At 35.6% G+C, this 18,435-nt stretch overlaps 1 protein-coding gene across 8 annotated transcripts in view; it reads left to right on the forward strand.

Annotated features, from left to right (window-relative positions):
• The window catches only part of GALNTL6 (polypeptide N-acetylgalactosaminyltransferase like 6), a 1,228,156-nt gene that overhangs the window by 1,063,946 nt on the left and 145,775 nt on the right, over positions 1 to 18,435 (forward strand). For all 8 annotated transcript variants that reach the window (NM_001034845.3, XM_017008243.3, XM_017008244.3 and 5 more), the window contains one exon: positions 5,441 to 5,558. In NM_001034845.3, coding sequence (NP_001030017.2) covers positions 5,441 to 5,558 — 118 coding nt within the window. The remainder of the gene's footprint in view (positions 1 to 5,440; positions 5,559 to 18,435) is intronic.

The raw sequence follows: 18,435 nt of genomic DNA on the forward strand, positions 1-18,435 counted from the left end.
GAAATAGAGAATATTAGGAAGATCAGCAACTCCTTAGAATACTGTAAGAGTCACCAAGGCTACAAGCATTAAGTACTGTATCTTGGTTTAGAGAAGATGATCAACTACACATTTTGAAAAATGCATTCACAAATGAAAACATAAAGAATGTTTTCCTGATACCAAATAAAGAATGGTTTTAGTACACTTTACCTTATAGCCTCATTAATTTAAAATTTAGCTAAGTTTAGAATATAAAAATTGCTATAGAAAAGTAAACTAGTCTACCATATGAGTAAAAAGGAAAGCATATTTATTACCTTATTTAACAGATTTAACATAAAATAGAAAATTGATTTCCATTAAATATTCAGAAAAGTCATGTATTTCTATGGCCTGTAGAAAAAAAAATCTTCAGTAAGAACCTGTTGCTTCATGATCATATTAATTTTAAAAGGCATCTCATGGATAACAGGTTTGTATTAGTAGCAAAATTCAAAGCCTGATTTGTGATATTGTGAGCAATATTCATAAAGTACATTAATATGTTAAAAGTTACATGGACACAGAGCCACATTAAAACACACCTGCAATGTGTTAACATTTTCAGGGAAACAAAAATAGCAAGAATATTTTGCAAGAAAACAAACAATGTGAAGATAAACAAGTGGGAGATTGTAGGCAATAGAACCTATGGCTAAAGTTTCAAGTAATTAATATTATATTTTAAGCGAAAGACTGGTAGAACATGCTCAAAATAATAAACTACTCTTTTTCATTTCCTCTAATGAAAAAACAATGTGACACATTAAAATCTTTTATCTGTAATGAATGAGGGAAACTGTCATCCTTGTTAACTTCAGTACAACACTGCACAATAGTTAACTCCTGTTTTGGTGGTGGAGTATGAATTTCAATCCACAAACTCAGTTGTGCATAATACATCACAATTTAAATTTTCCTTAGGGCCACTTATTTCCAACAGAATAGAGAAATGGTGTTCATAATATAATTTCATCTATATAAAACGGTGTTCAAAATAAAATATTATTTAAATCTTTTTAAAAGTTAATTGGCCAATTAAACAAAAATAATAATAATACAATGTGGGATTTAAAACGTGTAAAAGTAAAATGTATGATAACAAAGACATAGGCTGGGGGAAGAGAAATAGAGCCATACTCTCAAAAGTTTTTTATAGTATATGTGAAGTGACATAATATCGCAACATAAATTGCAATAAAAGAAAGGTATATGCCATAAACCATTATGATAACAAAGAAACCACTTAAAATGAAGAAACAAGGAGTTTTTTTATGTCAAAAAGGACAATAAATGAAATTATGAAAAATATTCGGTTAATCAAAAAGAAGACAAAAAATGGGGAAAGGAAACAACAGGTGAGACAAATAGAAGAGAAAGAGGAAGATGATAGATTTCAACCTAAACACATGAATAATCATATTGAAAGTAAGTGATCTAAATAATCCAGTTGACATGCAAGATGCAAGTATATGTTACCTATAAGAAAACTATTTTAAGCATAAAGACACAAATAGTTTAAAAGTAAAAAGATAGAAAAAGTTATAAATACTAGTATTTAGATAATACAAATCCAAATAAAGCTGGAGTGACTATAGTAATATCAAGACAAAATAGATGACAGAGTGAAGAACATTATTAGGGATAATAAAAGTCATTTCATAGCAATAATAAAGTTAATTCATCAAGAACAACAACAACAACAAAAAAGCCTGAACATTTATGCACCTATTAAGAGAGCTACGGAAACATGTTGCAAAAAACTGACAGAATAGCAGGAAGAAATAAACAAATCCAGAATTATAGTCATAGATTTCAATACCCCTCTTTCAGTAATTGATACATCAAGGAGACATAAAATCAATAAGCATATAGGAGATTTGAATAACACTATCAACCAACTTGACCTAATAAATATTTATAGAACACTGTACCCAACAGGAATGGAATACACATCCTTTTCAAATACACATGGAACATTTACCAAGATAGACCATATTCTAAGCCATTAAAATGTCACAATAAATTTAAAAGAATTCAAGTCATACAAAGTGTATTCTCTGACCACAATGGAATTAAATTGGAAATTAATAACCGAAGGATCTCCAAAAAATTCCCCAAATATTTGGAAACTAAGTTATATACTTCTATATAACATATAGGTCAAAAAATAAAAGAGAAATTAAAAAATATTTTGAACTGAATGAAAATAAGAACATGATGTATTCTTATATTTGTAGTAGTCTGCTAAAGCAATAGGTAGGAATAGATTTATAGTACTAAACACCTATATTAGAAAAAAGTCACAAATCAGTTATCTCAGTTTCCACCTTAAATAACCAGGAAAGAAGAGCAAATTAAATCCAAAGTAAGCAGAAGAATTAAAATAATAAAGACTAAAGAGAAATCAATGAAATATAAAACAGTAAAACAATAAAGAAAATCAATGAAACCAAAAGTTAGTTCTTTCAACAGATTAATAAAATTGATAAGCCTCTAGCCAGACTTACTAGGAAAAAAGAGAAATGATACAAACACTTTAACATTATTAATAATTATGGAAATGCAAAATAAAACCAAAGGAAGATACCACTACACACCTATTATCATGACTAAACTTCAAAAGACTGACCATAACAAGTGTTGGTGAGGACATGAAGTAAATGGAACTCAACACTGCTTCCAGGAATAGAAAATGGTACAGCCACTTTGGAAAACAGTTTGGCAGTTTATTGAAAGATTAGACATACCTACTATATGATCTAGTTATTCCACTTCTAGGAATATTCCCAGGAGAAATAAAAGCACACATCCACACAAAGATTAGTACACAAAGTTTATGGCAGTTTCATTTGTAATAGCCCCAAACTGCGAACAACCCAAACGTCCATCAACAGGTGAATGGATAATCAATTGCAGTAAATTCATGCAAATAGAATACTACTCTGCAATTTAAAAATAATGAACCATTGATACACGCTATAGCATGGATGAATCTCAAAATAGTTATATTGAATGGAAGAAGACAGACCCCCCAAAAAATGTATACTGTATAATTCTATGTATATATAGTTGTAGAAAATGCCAACTAATCTACAGTGACAGAAAGCAGATCAGTCATTGCCTGTTGGAAGGAAATGAGAAGAGATTACAAAGAGACATGAGGAAACTTTGACAAATAATGGATAGGTCCATTTTCAGTGATGGCTGCACGGAGATAAACACAAGTCAAAACCTATCAAACTGTACACTTAAAATATGTGCAATCAATTATATGTCAATTACACAACAATTAAGCTGTTTTAAAACTCACGGGCAAATATGAGTAAATACATAAACACAGTAAATAAAAAGTTTATTTCTTAACGGTCATTCACACCAATCAAGACAGGAGATACTAATTTATTTAGGTCTTTGTAGGAACATCAGTAAAGGTACAGAAGATCCATTTGAATTTATGTTATTATATGTCTAAAATAACCTAAGATACACTGCATGGGTTTTGTATAAACTCGTTAAGAAAACAAGATTATTGTGTTTCTGACAATTTGTAATAAAAACTCAATTTAGAATTTTTCTTGCCCAATATCTCTAACACTGTATCTATGGTGGTTCTAGTTTTGAGATTCATTGTGCACAGTGTAAGTTTTGGTGCCCTTTGTCTCATGTTTTACACAATCAAATGAGAATATGTTTGTATGACTTGGGACCTTTCTATTTGCAGTTCAGATTAAATAAGACTGAGAATTTCTGACTACTTATAACCAACACTTGCAGAAGTAATGCTTACAATTGGTAAAGTGTTCTTTGGGGAACTGCACTCGATAAATGTTACAATCCTAGTTTGTTGCAGCTTCAGTTGTAATTCCACTCTGAAATTCAGTGGGTGAAAAATGGGAAAAGATCAGGCTGCTAGAGAGAGGGATAAAGTAAGGCACATATGATTCTAGGATTTTTATTACAAAACAAAAAATTACATGAGAGAGTGTCTTTATATTATTTTCTGAATTCTGCCCACTTTCCTGGAGAAAAACCTAAATTCCTCTCCCAGTCTTGTAATCTCTTCATCTGCATAAAGCCTACACCTTCAAAACAATTCCTAGACTGAAGTAATTAAATCAAGTACCATCTTAGCATGCAAACTCTTTGAAATATATAATACACTTAGACAGATTCAGGTTTATGTTCCCCAAGTGCTTCATAAAGCATTACCAAGACTAAGTTCTCAGTTGTTCAATAAATTGGATTGGTGTCTACTATGGTTATGCATATCTTTTTGTGTATATCAACATTTGAAATGTTGTACTGTTATTTATAAATATCCTTTGTTTCAAAAAAGTTTTCAAAACTGTCACTTCAGTTATGTGTTTTTATCGATTTGCTTGATCTGCATAAGGGTGTTCTCTGTTTCATATCCATTTGTATATAGTTATCTCTTTTGCCTCTGAACATTGAAACAGAAACAGTGTTGTGGTGAAGAGCCCTAGCGCAGCCTCACCACGCTAGCCTCAGCCTTGGGCAACATTCCACCTCTTCTGCGTGATTCCTCAAACCGTGTGCATAGGGAGGTTGTTCACAGGGTTGTTGTGAGGATCGATCAAGGTAATTAGGTATAGATTTTTATCCTTTAGACCAGCACATAGTGAGCAGTCCAAAAAAAAAAAAATAAACAAGAGCACCTTTGAACTGCAAAAATATTTAGGGCAGGGCCTACCAAGTGGTTATAATTATCTTATTACATGACTGAAATGCATCCTAGCAGGAGTGGAATACTTGAAAATTATTATTTAATCAAAATTAATATTTCTTAGGCAGAGAAGGCCTAAAAAGAATAGTATAAAATGAAAAGACTTAGTTTAAATTTCAACTTTGGCACATTAAACAACTAATTCTGGTTTCTTATTTTATTCTAACCTGCCGATCTGTAGTTTGTAAATTGGACATGACCTGTTCATAGTAGATGCTTAGTGAATGCGTACTGAGAGATTACTCAAAGATATTGTCTACAAAAGCATTTTCAATACTTTTATATGTCTGATAGTATAAGATCCCTTTAGTTTCAGGAAAAACCATAAAATTGAGTGATATTTCTCACTTTATGGGTCATTATTACTCATGTAGTAATATTTCTCACTAGTGATAAACAAGTGGAGCAAATGTGACTCTGCAGGGCAATTGTTGCATTAAAACCTGAACTGCAAATATTTAATGCTCACAAGAATTTTTCTCCCTCCCCATCCATGTCCACTTCAGTGAGAGACCCAATGAGAACCCTATATCCACTTACAGAAAACCAGTGCTGAAAAGTTCCACACAGCTGACCACTAAAACATATCTTGAATTTTACTTTTTTCCCAAGGAAAATGCCATTGTCTGTAACGTTCATAGTCCTTTAAAGATTATTTTGTTCATTTCACAGGTCTCCTGTTATGGCTGGAGGTCTCTTTGCTGTGGATCGGAAATGGTTTTGGGAATTGGGTGGCTATGATCCAGGTTTAGAAATCTGGGGAGGAGAACAGTATGAAATCTCTTTTAAGGTAAGCCCCAAGACCCTCTTCACACTATATCTGTATAATTTTGACAATTCTGATAGAATATCAGCATGTTGCTCTGTGACCTGTGTTCTGGGATGACTTAATGGTAATAGATGTATCACCTTCCCAAGTGAGCTCTTGTAGTTTCTTTCTTTTTTGGTTTTTGTTTTTATTTTTTCTTGATATACAATCATTATACATATTTGTGGGGTACATGTGAAATTTTGAAACATGTATACAATGCATAATGATCAAATCAGGGTAACTGGGATATCCATCACCTCAAACATTCATCTCTTCTTTGTGTTGGAAACATTGCAATTCTTCTCCTCTAGCTATCTTGAAATATACAATAAATTATTGTGAACTATAATCTCCCTACTTGTATAAGGCCATTTTTGCATTGCTATAAAGAAATATCTGAGACTGGGTAATTTACAAAGAAAAGAAGTTTAATTGGCTCACAGTTCTGCAGGCTGCACAAGAAGTGTGGTGCTGGCATCTGCTTCTGGTAAGGGCTTCAGGAAGCTTTTAATCATTGTGGAAGGCAACAGGGAGCCAGCATGTCACATGGTGAAAGCAAAAGCAAGAGACGCAGGGGTGAGCTGCCACACACTTTTAAACAACCAGATCTCACGAGAACTCACTCACCAGCAAGGGGATGGCGCTAAGCCTAATTCTTGAGGAATCCATTCCCCATGATCCAAACACCTCCCACCAGGCCTCACCTCCAACACTGGGGGCCACATTTTGACATAAGATTTGGAGGTGACAAACAACCAAATTATATCACTACAGTACTATCAAATACTAGAACTTATCTCTTCCATTTAACTGTATTTTTGTACTCATTAACCAACTTCTTTTTTTGCCGCCTCCCCACCCCCACTCCCTTCTATTCCCAGCCTCTGGTAACCACCAATCTACCTTCTACCTCCATTAGACCAACTTGTTTAGCTCCCCATATGAGCTAGGACATGGGATGTTTTTCTATGCCTGATTTATTTCACTTAAAATAATGACCTTCAGTTCCATCTATGTTCCTGCAAATGATAGTATTTCATTCCTTTTTATGACTGCATAATATTCCATTGTGTATATATACTACATTTTCTTTATCCATTCATCCAGTGATGGACACTTAGGTAACTATTGAGACCATTGTCACAAAAAAATGGGAATGCAGATATCACTTCTACATACTGAGTCCCTTTCTTTTGAAAATATACCCAACATTAGGATTACTAGATTATATGGTAGTTCTATTTTAGTATTTTGAGGACGCTCCATACTCTTTCCCCTAATTGCTACATTATTTTGCATTTCCACCAACAGTGTAGGAGCATTCCCCTTTCTCTGCATCCTTGCCAGGATTTTTAAATTTTTTGTCTTTGAGATAATAGCCAGTTTAACTTGGGTAAGATATAACCTCAATGTGGTTTTGATTTGCATTTCTCTGATAACTAAAGATGTTCAACATTTTTCATATACCTGTTGGCCATTTGTATGTCTTCTTTTGAGAAATGTCTATTCATGTATTATGCTCATTTTTAAATTGAATTATTTGAAGGATTTTACTGTTGAGTTGTTTGAGTTCATTATATATTCTGGTTATTATTTCTTTGTCAGATAGATAGTTTGCAAACATTTTCTCCCATCCTACAGGTTGTCTCTTCACTTTGTTGATTGTTTCCTTGCTCTACAGAAACTTTCTAGCTTGATGTAAATTTGTCTATTTTTGCTTTTGTTCCATGTGCTTTTGAGATCTTAGCCAAAAAATACCTGTGCCCAGACCAATGTCCTGTAGTGTTTCCCCAGCATTTTCTTCTAGTAGTTTCATAGTTTTGGGTCACATAGCTAAGTCTTTAATCTATTTTCAGTTGATTTTTGTACATGATGAAAGACAAAGATCTAATTTCATTTTTCTTCACATGGATATCTCATTTTCCCAGCATCATTTATTGAAGAAACTGTCCTTTTCCCCACTGTATGTTCTTGATGCCTTTTTGTCAAGAATGAGTTGGCTGTAAGTGCAAGGATTTACTTCTGGGTTCTCTATTTTGTTCCATTGGTGTATGCATCTGTTTTTATGCCAGTACCATGCTATTTTGATTACAATAGCTTTGTGGTATAATTTGAAATCAAGTAATGGGATGACTCCAGCTTTGTTCTTTTTGTTCAGGACTGCTTTAGCTATTTAGGGCCTTTTCTTGTTCCCTACAAATTTTTGGATATTTTTTCCGTTTCTGTGAAGAATGTCATTGGTAATTTGACATGGATTACATTAATTATTTAGATCATTTCTGGTAGTGTAGATATTTTAACAGTATTAGTTCTTCCAATCAAAGACCATGGTATATCTTTCCATCTTTTGTGTGTCTTCAGTTTCTTTCATCATTGATTTGTACAGGTTATTTCACTTCTTTAGTTAAATTTATTCTTAGGTATTTTTAAGCTATTATAAATGGGATTGTTTTCTTGATTGCTTTTCAGATTGATTTCTGTTAGTGTATAGCAACTTTATAGAATTAATTTATCAGTTCCAGGAACTTTTGGTGGAGTCTTTAGGTTTTTCTAAAAGTAAGATCATGTCATCTGCAAAGATAATTTGACTTCTTCCATTACAATTTTGATGCCCTTTGTTTCTTTATCTTCCCTAAGCACTCAGGCTAGGACTTCCAGAACTAGGTTGAATAAAAGTGATGAAAGTGAGCATCCTTGTCTTCTTCTAAATCTTAGTGGAAAGGCTTTCAATTTTCCCCCTTTCAGTGTGATCTTACATGTGGGTTTGTAATATATGGCTGTTATCATATTGAGATATTTTCTTTCTATATCCAATTTGTTAAGAGTTTTTATCATGAAGGAATGTTAAATTTTACCAATACTTTTTCAGCATGTATCAAAATGATCCTATGCTTTTTGTCCTTGATTCTCTTGTTGTGATATATCACACTTATTGATTTGTATACGTTGAACCATCTTTGCATCTTTGGGATGAAGCCCACTTGATTATGGTGAATGTTCTTTTTAATGTCTTATTGAATTATGTTTTGTCGAGGGTTTTTACATCTATGTTTATGAGGAATGTTGGCCTATAGATTTTTTTGTGTGTGTACCTGTCTAGTTTAGCTATCAGGATAATACTGGCATTATAGAATGAGTTTGGAAGAATTCCCTCCTCTTCAATTTTTTGAAATAGTTTCAGTAGAATTGGTATTAGTTCTTCCTTAAAAGTTTGGTAGAAATCAGTAATTAATCCATCAAGTGTTGGGCTTTTCTTTGATGGGAGACTATTACTGCTTTGATTTCATTATTCCTTATTGATCTCTTCAGGTTTTCTTTTTCTTCATGGTTCAATCTTCATAGGTTGTGTATTTACAAGAATTTATCTACTTCTTCTAGGTTTCCAATATTTTGGTGTACAGTTGTTCAAAATGGTCTCTAACAATCCTTTGTATTTCTGAGGTCTCAGTTGTTGTGTCTCCTTTTTCATTTCTGATTTTATTTATTTGAGTCTTCTCTCTTCCATTCTTAGTCTGGCTAAAGAGTTGTTACATTTGTTTATCTGTTTAAAAAATTGGCTGGACGCGGTGGCTCACGACTATAATCCCAGCACTTTGGGAGGCCAAGGCTGGCGGATCACAAGGTCAGGAGTTCGAGACCAGCCTCATGAACATGGTGAAACCCTGTCTCTACTAAACATACAAAATTAGTTGGGCGTGGTGGCGCATGCCTGTAATCCCAGCTACTGGGGAGGCTGAGACAGGAGAATTGCTTGAACCCGGGAGGCAGAAGTTGTAGTGAGCCGAGATTGCACCATTGCACTCCAGCCTGGGCAACAAGAGCAAAAAACTCCATCTCAAAAAAAAAAAATCAATTTTACAGTTCATTGATCTTTTGTATTATTTTATTAGTCTCTATTTTTAAGTTCAACTTTTATTTTAGATTCAGGGGGTACACGTGCAGGATTGTTACAAGCAAATATTGTGTGCTGCTGCAGTTTGGGTTATAATTGAATGCATCACCCACATAGTGAGCATGGTACACAACAGGTAGTTCTTTAGCCATTGACCCCCTACTCCCTACCCCCTCTTGTAGTGATCAGTGACTTTTGTTGTCATATTTATGTCCATGTGTACTCAATGCTTATCCTCCTCTTATAAGTGAAAACATGTGGTATTTGATTTTCTGTTACTGCATTAACATGCTTAGGATAATGGCCTCTAGCTGCATCCATGTTGCTGCAAAGGAAATGATTTTGTTCACTTTTTATGGCAGTGAAGTATTCCATGGTGTATATGTACCACATTATCATAATTCAGTCCACCATTGATGGGCACATAGGTTGATTCCATGTATTTGTTATCATGAATAGTGCTGCAATGAACATATGAGTGCATATGTCTTTTTGGTAAAATGGTTTATTTTCCTTTGGACATGTACCTAGTAATGAGATTGCTAGGTTCTATTTTTAGAACCAGCAACCAACCCCAGCATGGTAGTTCTATTTTTATTTCTTTGAGGAGTCTCCAAACTGTTTTCCCCAGTGGCTGAACTAATTTACATTCCCACCAACAGTGTATAAGTGTTCTTTTTTCTCTGCAGCCCTGCCAACATATTATATTTTAACCTTTTATTTATTTATTTATTTATTTATTTATTTATTTATTTATTTTTGAGATCGAGTCTCACTCTGTTGCCCAGGCTGGAGTGCTGTGGTGCAATCTCAGCTCACTGCAATCTCCGCCTCCTAGGTTCAAGTAATTATCCTGCCTCAGCCTCCCATGTAGCTGGGACTACAGGCACCTGCCACCATGCCTGGCTAATTTTTGTATTTTTTGTAGAGACGGGGTTTCCCCATGTTGGCCAGGCTAGTTTTGAACTCCTGACCACAGGTGATCTGCCTGCCTCGGCCTCCCAAAGTGCTAGGATTGTAGGCATGAGCCACTGCACCCGGCCTCTATTTTTACTTTTTAATAATAGCAATTCTGACCGGTGTGAGATGGTATCTCATTGTAGTTTTGATTTGCATTTATCTTACAATTGGTGATGTTGAGCATGTATCAATATGTTTCTTGGCCACTTGTATGTCTTCTTTTGAGATGAGTCCTTTGCCCACATTTTAGCAGGGTTGTTTTTCACTTGTTGATTCATTTAGGTTCCTTATGGATTCGAGATATTAGACCTTTGTCACATACATAGTTTGCAAATATTTTCTCCCATTCTGTGGGTTGTTTGTGTACTCTGTTGATAGTTTCTTTTGCTGTGAAGAAGCTCTTAAGTTTAATAGGCCCCACTTGTCAATGTTTGGTTTTGTTGCAATTGCTTTTGAGATCTTAGTCATAAATTCTTTGCCAAGGCCAATGTCCAGAAAAGCATTTCCTAGATTTTCTTCCATAATTTTTATAGCTTAAGGTCTTACATTTAAGTCTTTAATCTATCTCGAGTTAACTTTTGTATATGGTGAGAAGTAGGAGTCCAGTTTCATTCTTCTGCATATAGATATCCAGTTATCCCAGCACTATTTATTGAATAGGAAGTCCTTTTCCTATTGCTTATTTTTGTCAAGTGGATATCCAGTTATCCCAGTGCTATTTATTGAATATGGAGTTCTCTTCTCATTGCTTATTTTTGTCAACTTTGTAGAAGATCAGTTCATTGTAGGCGTGCTACCTTATTTCTGGGTTCTCCAGTCTGTTCCCACGCTCTATGTGTCTGTTTTCGTACCAGTACCCTCCTGTTTTGATTACTGTAGTCTTGTAGTACAGTTTGAATTTAGGTAATGTGGTACCTCCGGCTCTGTTCTTTTTGCTTAGGATTGCCTTGGCTATCTGGGCTCTTTTGTTGCTTCCATATGAATTTGAGAATAGTTTTTTTCTAATTCTGTGAAAAACGACATTGGTAATTTGACAGAAATAGCGTTGAATCTATAGATAGTTTTGGATAGTATGACTATTATAACAATATCTGTTCTTCCAATCCATGAGCATGGAAATTTTTTTTTTCATTTTTATGTCATCTATGATTTCTTTCATCAGTGTTTTGTAGTTCTTCTTGTAGAGATTTTTTACATCCTTGGTTAGTGTGGTCCTACATTTGCTTTTGTGTGTGTGGCTATCGTAAGTGAGATTGCATTATTGATTCAACTCTCAGCTTGAATGTTATCGGTGTATAAAAATACTACTAAATTTTGTACATTGATTTTGTATACTGAAACTTTACTGAAGCCATTTATCAGGTCTGTAAGCCATTTGGCAGAGTCTGCGGGGTTTTCTAAGCATAGAATCATATCATTAGTGAAGAGCGATAATTTAACTTCTTTTCCTATTTGGATGATTTATATTTCTTTCTTTTGCCCAAATGCTCTAAGTAGGACTACCAGTACTATGTCAAATAGGAGTGGTGAGGATGGGCATCCTTGTTTTGTTCCAGTTCTTAATGAAAATGCTTCCAGCTTTTGCCCATTCAGTATGATGTTGGCTATGGGTTTATCACAGATGTCTTTTATTATTTTGATATATATTTTTAATGCCTAGTTTGTTGAGGGTTTTTATCATGAAAGGATAATGGGATTTATCAAAAGCATTTTCTACATCTATTAAGATGATTATATGGGCTTTGTTTTTAATTCTGTTTATGTGGTGAATCATGTTTATTGATTTGCATATGTTGAACCAGCCTTACATCCGAGGAATGAAGACTTCTTGATCATGGTGAATTAGCGTTTTGATGTGCTGCTGAATTTGGTTTGCTTTTATTTTATTGAGGGTTTTTGTGTCTATGTTCATCAGAGTGACTAGCCTGTAGTTTTCTTTTTTCATTGTGTCTTTGTCAGATTTTGACATCAGGGTGATACTAGTTTCATGGAATGAGTTAGAGAGGAGTCCTTCCTTGTTGATTTTTTGGAATAATTTTAGTAGAATTGGTAGCAGCTCTTCGTTGTATGGTTGGTAAAATTTGGCTGTGAATCCATCTGGTCCGGCCTTTTTTTGTTTGCTGGTTTTTCATTACTGATTAAATATCAGAACTCGATATTCGTCTATTCAGTATCTCAATTTCTTCCTGACTCAATCTTGGGAGTCTGTGTACTTCCAGGAATTTATCCATGTCCTCTAGATTTTCTAGCTTGTATGCACAGAGGTGTTCATAACAGTCTCTAAGGTCTTTTTTATGTCTGTGGAATCCATTGTAATGCCTTCTTTGTCATTTCTGATTATGCTTACTTGGATCTTCTCTCTTTTTTTCTTTATTAATCTTGCTAGCGGTCTATTGATCTTGTTTATCCTTTCAAAGAAACAACTTTTTATTTTGTTGATCCTTTGTATTGATTTTTGAGTCTCAATTTCATTTAATTCTGCTCTGATTTCATTATTTATTTTTTTCTGCTAATTTTGGGGTTGGAGTGTTTTTGTTTTTCTAGTTCCTCTAAGTGTAATGTTAGATTGTTAATTTAATGTAGGTATTCAGAGCTATAAGCTTTCTTTTTAATACTGCTTGTGCTGCGTCCCAGAGATTTTGATATGTTCTGTTTCTGTTTCCATTTACTCCAAAGTCATTCAGGAGCAAGTTGTTTAGGTTCCATGTAATTGTGTGGTTTTGAGGGATACTCTTAGTGTTGATTTTTATTTTTATTCCACTGTAGTCTAAGAATATGCTTTGCATGAATTTGATTTTTTTGAATTTATTGAGACTTGCTTTATGGCTAGGCATGTGGTTGAGGTTAGTGTATGTTCCGTGTGCCAAGGAGAGGGATGTATATTCTGTGGCTGTTAAGTGGGGTATTCTGTAGATGTCTACTTTGTCCAGTTGGTCAAGTGTTGGATTTAAGTCCAGAATTTCTTTGTTAGTTTTCTGCCTCAATGACCTGTCTAACACTGCCCATGGGGTTTTGAATAGTCCCTATTATTGTGTGGCTGTCTGAGTCTTTTCATAAATCTAGAAGTACCTGTTTTATGATCTGGGTGCTTCAATGTTTGGTGCATATAGATTTATAATAATTGTCTTGTTGTTGAATTCAACCATTTGTCATTATGTAATGACCTTCTTTGCCTGTTTTTACTGTTTTTGGTTTAAAATCTGTTTTATCTGAAGAATAGTGACCTCTGCTCTTTTTTGTTTACCATTTGCATAATAGATCTTTCTCCATTCCTTTCCTTTGAGCCTATGGGTGTCATTACATGGGAGATTGGTCTCTTGAAGACAGCAGAAGGTTGGGCCTTTTTTTTTTTTAATCCAACTTGCCACTCTGTGCTTTTTAAGTGAGGCATTTAGACCAATATGCGAGGTTTTGATTCTGTCATGGTGTCAATGGCTGGTTGTTTCATGGTCTCAATTGTGTAGTTGTTTTATAGGGTCTATAGACTACATACTTGCATATGTTTTTGTGGTATCTGGTATCGATTTTTCATTTCCTTGTTTAGAGCTCCCTTTAACATCTTTTGTAAGGCAGGTCTAGTAGTAGCAAATTACCTCTCTGGAAAAGATTTTATTTCTCCTTCACTTTTGAAGCTTAGCTTGAGGGGATATAAAATTCTTGGTTGGAATTTTTTTATTTAAGAATGCTAAAAATATGCCTCCAATCTCTGACTTATAATGTTTCTGCTGTTAGCCTGATGGGGTTCCCCTCATAAGTGACATAACCCTTTACTCTAGCTGCCTTTAAGATTTATTTATTTGCATTGACCTTGTAAAGTCTGATGACTATATGTCCTGGGGATGGTCATCTTGTATAGTATCTTGCAGGAGTTCTCTGAGTTTCTCAAATTTACATTTCAACCTCTCTAGCAAGACTGGAAATTTTTTATAGATTATATTCTCAAATATGTCTTCCAAATTGCCTATTCTTTCTTCTTCTCTCTCGGGAATACCAAGGAGTCATAGGCTTTGTCTCTTTATGTAATCCCATATTTATTGCTGGTTTTGTTCATATTTTTGATTCTTTTTTATTTTTGTCTGACTGGGTCTTTGAGCCTTTACATTCTTTCCTCAGCTTACTCTAGTCTTTTGTTAAGACTTCCAACAGTATTTGAAATTTTCATAGTGAATTTTTCAATTCCGGAAGTTCAGTTTGGTTTTCTTAATATGGCCATGTCATTGTTCAAGTCTTAAATTGTTTTTCTGGCTTCCGTGCATTGGCTTTCAATTTTCTCTTGAATTTCATTGAGCTTGCTTGCCATCCAAATTCTGGATTTTATTGTTGAGCTTCCTTGCCATCCAGACCCTGAATTCTATGTCTGTTATTTCAGACATTTCAATGTGGTTAGGATCCATTGCTGGGGAGCTAGTGCAATCCTTTGGATGTAAAGAAATGCTCTGACTTTTTGAATTGCCTGAGCCCTTCTCATATGAGGAGGCTGGCAATTCTTTTTCCTTTTTAAATTGCTCTACTATGGATGAGGCCTTTTGTTTTTATATATTCCTTTTCCCTTGAGGGTTTGACTGTGGTGTATGTTGTGTATAGTTGATTGTCTTCATTTCTGAGTGCTTTCAAAGGGCCAGGGCTCTGTATGGGCTACTTACTTGTGGATAGTTTCCTGCTTTGGGTTTCACAGGTGTTGGGTGTTGAAGAAATTTTTTCTTTAGTGGTGTAATTCAGGATGCGAACCAGTAGACGGCGCTTAAGAGTAAGGGCCAGCAGATAGGCTCTTAGCCAAGCTCCTCTTGGAGCTTACTGTTGTCGGCTTTGTTCATATTTTTAATTCTTTTTTTTTTTTTTTTTAACTGCTGCATATGCCCTTACACCTTTTTTTGTTGTTGTTACTGACTGCTGCATATGCCATATGCCCTTACTCTTAAGTGGTCTGGAGATGGGAGATGGGGGGCAAGAGATGACTCCCTCACCAACTCCATTCCTAGGTCTTGGTAGAGCCCTTTTCAATTATTGGTGTTGCCTCCATGATTTCTTAGTCTCAAGCGAAACGCTGGCAAACTGCTTTCCCTCCTCCCTCAGGGGCAGCCCAAGGCAAGGTTTACATCACCAGGAAATCCACAATTATTTGGGGACCTACTGGTCCTCTGAGCTTGGCAGAGTCAGAACAGGTTGTGGTGTGTGTCTGCAGGTGGTCTGGTGATGCAGTGGGTCAAGGGCAGAGGATGCCCAGGCAGGACAGTAATACCATACATGTGGCACCCACGGCCTGCTGTTCTTATCCCAGCAGATGGCTGTGGGGCCAAGCCAGCTCACACTTACCCAACCCAGTAAGTCTTTCTGCAGCGTCTGCCCCAGGAGTGGGCCTGACCAGCTAGGCTTGTCCCAAACCTTCTGTGCCAAGATTGCTGGGCAGTTCCAGGTGTTCCACGCTGTAGGGATCCCTGAGGAAGAAGGTGCTACTGGCTAATAGGCCACACCCTTCCCAAAACAGTGTTGTTGAGAGAGGGGCACCCAGCTCCCACGCCAGCACACAAACCTGTGTATCACTCTTCTAAGTGTTCTGAGAGTGGCGGGGGGGGGGTCTTCCCCTTCTCAAACTCAAGCCAAAGATCTCAGCTCCAAACCCCTGGACAGTGTGCTCGAATCCTGGGAGTTTTGGGACCACACCTACAGTTTTGTCTGCTGACCCCTCAGGGTCCAGTGCTGGCTGTGCAGAAGGAGCCAAACTACTCCCAGGCAACCAGCAAAACACTCAGGCAGGACAATGAAAGCTGTGCTGTAGGTACCTTCCTGAGGGAGTGACCAGGCAGGCAGTCTTGGGAAGATCTGGTGGACAAGGGGGCACAAAGATCAGATGCACCCCCGTCCCACGGAAGAAATAGCCAAGCCCTGCTCTCTCCCAGCCTGGCAGAAAGCAGGAGCTGTTGTCACTCAGAACAAGATGGAGAGCCTGGGGGGAAGGGTACCTATGGTCACATTTTGTTGCAGCTGCAGTGTGCACGGCAAAACCTTCTGGGATCCATGCAGGTTTGAGCTCTTCCTCTGCCTTATCTCCAGGCAGTTCCCTCTGCCAATTCAAATGTCTCTGAAGGTCATAGGATCTCATGTATCTAGGATCCCAGATGTCCACAGTGGGAGTGTGGAGTCCCGGAGCTCCTTCACTCGCCCCTTCCTTAGGACCTAGTCAGGTTTGGGAGCTGGTCCTCAGCATTCACCAACTCCAGGCAAGCTTCCCAGCTTCTTCCCTCTTCAAATATGGTGTATATGTCACCTATCAACTTTCAGTATTTTCTTTCAGAAGATCTGTTCAAAGTGTGATGGTTTACTCAATATTTTGTTTCCTCTCAGTGGGAGAGGTGTCTCAGCTATGTCTAATTAACTATCTTAGTTCAGTCACTGTTTTATTGTCTCAGTTTCATATATTTATGTTCTGATCTTTATTATTTCTTTTATTTTGCTAATTTTGGGGATTGGTTTGTTCTTGCTTTTCTTGAGGTGTATCACTAGGTTCTTTATTTGAAGTATTTGAAGTTTGTCTATTTTTTATGTAGGCATTTATTGCTATATAAACTTCCCTCTTAGTACTGCTTTTGCTGTATCCCATATATTCTGGTGTGTTGTGTTTCCAATTTTGTTTCAAGAAATACTTCAATTTCCTTCTTAACTTCTTCATTGACCCATTCGTCATTCAGGGCATATTGTTTCCATGTACTGGTACAGTTTACAAAGTTTTGCTTTTTATTGATTCTGGCTTTATTCTATTTTGGTCAGACATGATTTCAACATTTTTTAATTTGTTGAGACTTGTTTTGCGGCCTAACATATAGTTTATTCTGGAGAATATTACATGTGCTGATGAAAATAATCTGTATTGCATATTAATTGGATGAAATGTTCTGTAAATGTCTGTTAGGTCCATTTGTTCTAGTGTATAGTTCAATTATGATGTCTCTTTGATAATTTTCTGCCTAAATGATCTGCCCATTGCTGACAATGGGGTGTTGAAGTATTCTACTATTATTGTATTGCATTCTATCTGTCCCTTTAGATCTGTTAATACTTGCTTTATATGTCTGGGTGTTTTGGTATTGGTATTGGGTGCACATGTATTTATAATTGTTATATCCTCTTGCTGAATTGATCTCTTTATCATTATATAATGATCTTGTTTTTTTTACAGTTTTTTTTTTTTTACTTAAAGTCTCTTTTGTGTGACATCAGTATAGCTACTCTAGCTCTCTTTTTATTTCTATTTGCGTGAGTGGAATAAATTTTTTTCATCCCATCACCTTCAGTATATGGGTATCTTTATAGATAAAGTGAGTTTCTTATAGGCAGCATATAGTTAGGTCTTGTTTGTTTAATTCATTCAGTCACTGTGTCTTTTAATTGGAGAATTTAATAAATTTACATTCAATGCTATTATGGATAAGTAAGAATTTACTAGTATCATTTTGTTACTTGTTTTCTAGTTGCTTTGTAGCTCTTCTTTTCCCTTCTTCCATTTTTCCTGTCTTTGTGGTTAAGTGATTTGCTCTGATAGTATTTTTCATTTGTTGCTTTTTACTTTAGTGTATATATTATACACTTTTCATTTTTAGTGTTTTTGTTATATATATATATATATATTTTTTTTTTGCTTTCAGCACTCTGAATCTATGGTTCCACTCCCTGCAGGCCTGTAAGGTTTCTGCTAAGAAGCCTGCTGTCAGGCATATTAGAACTCCCTTAAATGTTATTTGCTTATTTTCTCTCATTGCTTTCAGAAATTTTCTTTGCCTTTTACCTTTGTGAGTTTGATTATAATATGTTTTAGGGTATTCTTGTTTGGGTTGAATAAAATTGGAGACTTTTCACTTTCTTCTGTGTGGGTATTTATATCTTTCTCAAGGTTTGGAAAGCTCTTTGTTATTAGTTCTTTAAACAAACTTTATGTTCATTTGTCCATGTCAGTTCCCTCTTTAACTCCAATAAACTGAATATTTGCCCTTTTGATGTTGTCCCATAGAT

The sequence above is a fragment of the Homo sapiens genome, chromosome 4 (genome assembly GCF_000001405.40).
Source record: "Homo sapiens chromosome 4, GRCh38.p14 Primary Assembly".
Taxonomy (NCBI): Eukaryota; Metazoa; Chordata; class Mammalia; order Primates; family Hominidae; genus Homo; species Homo sapiens.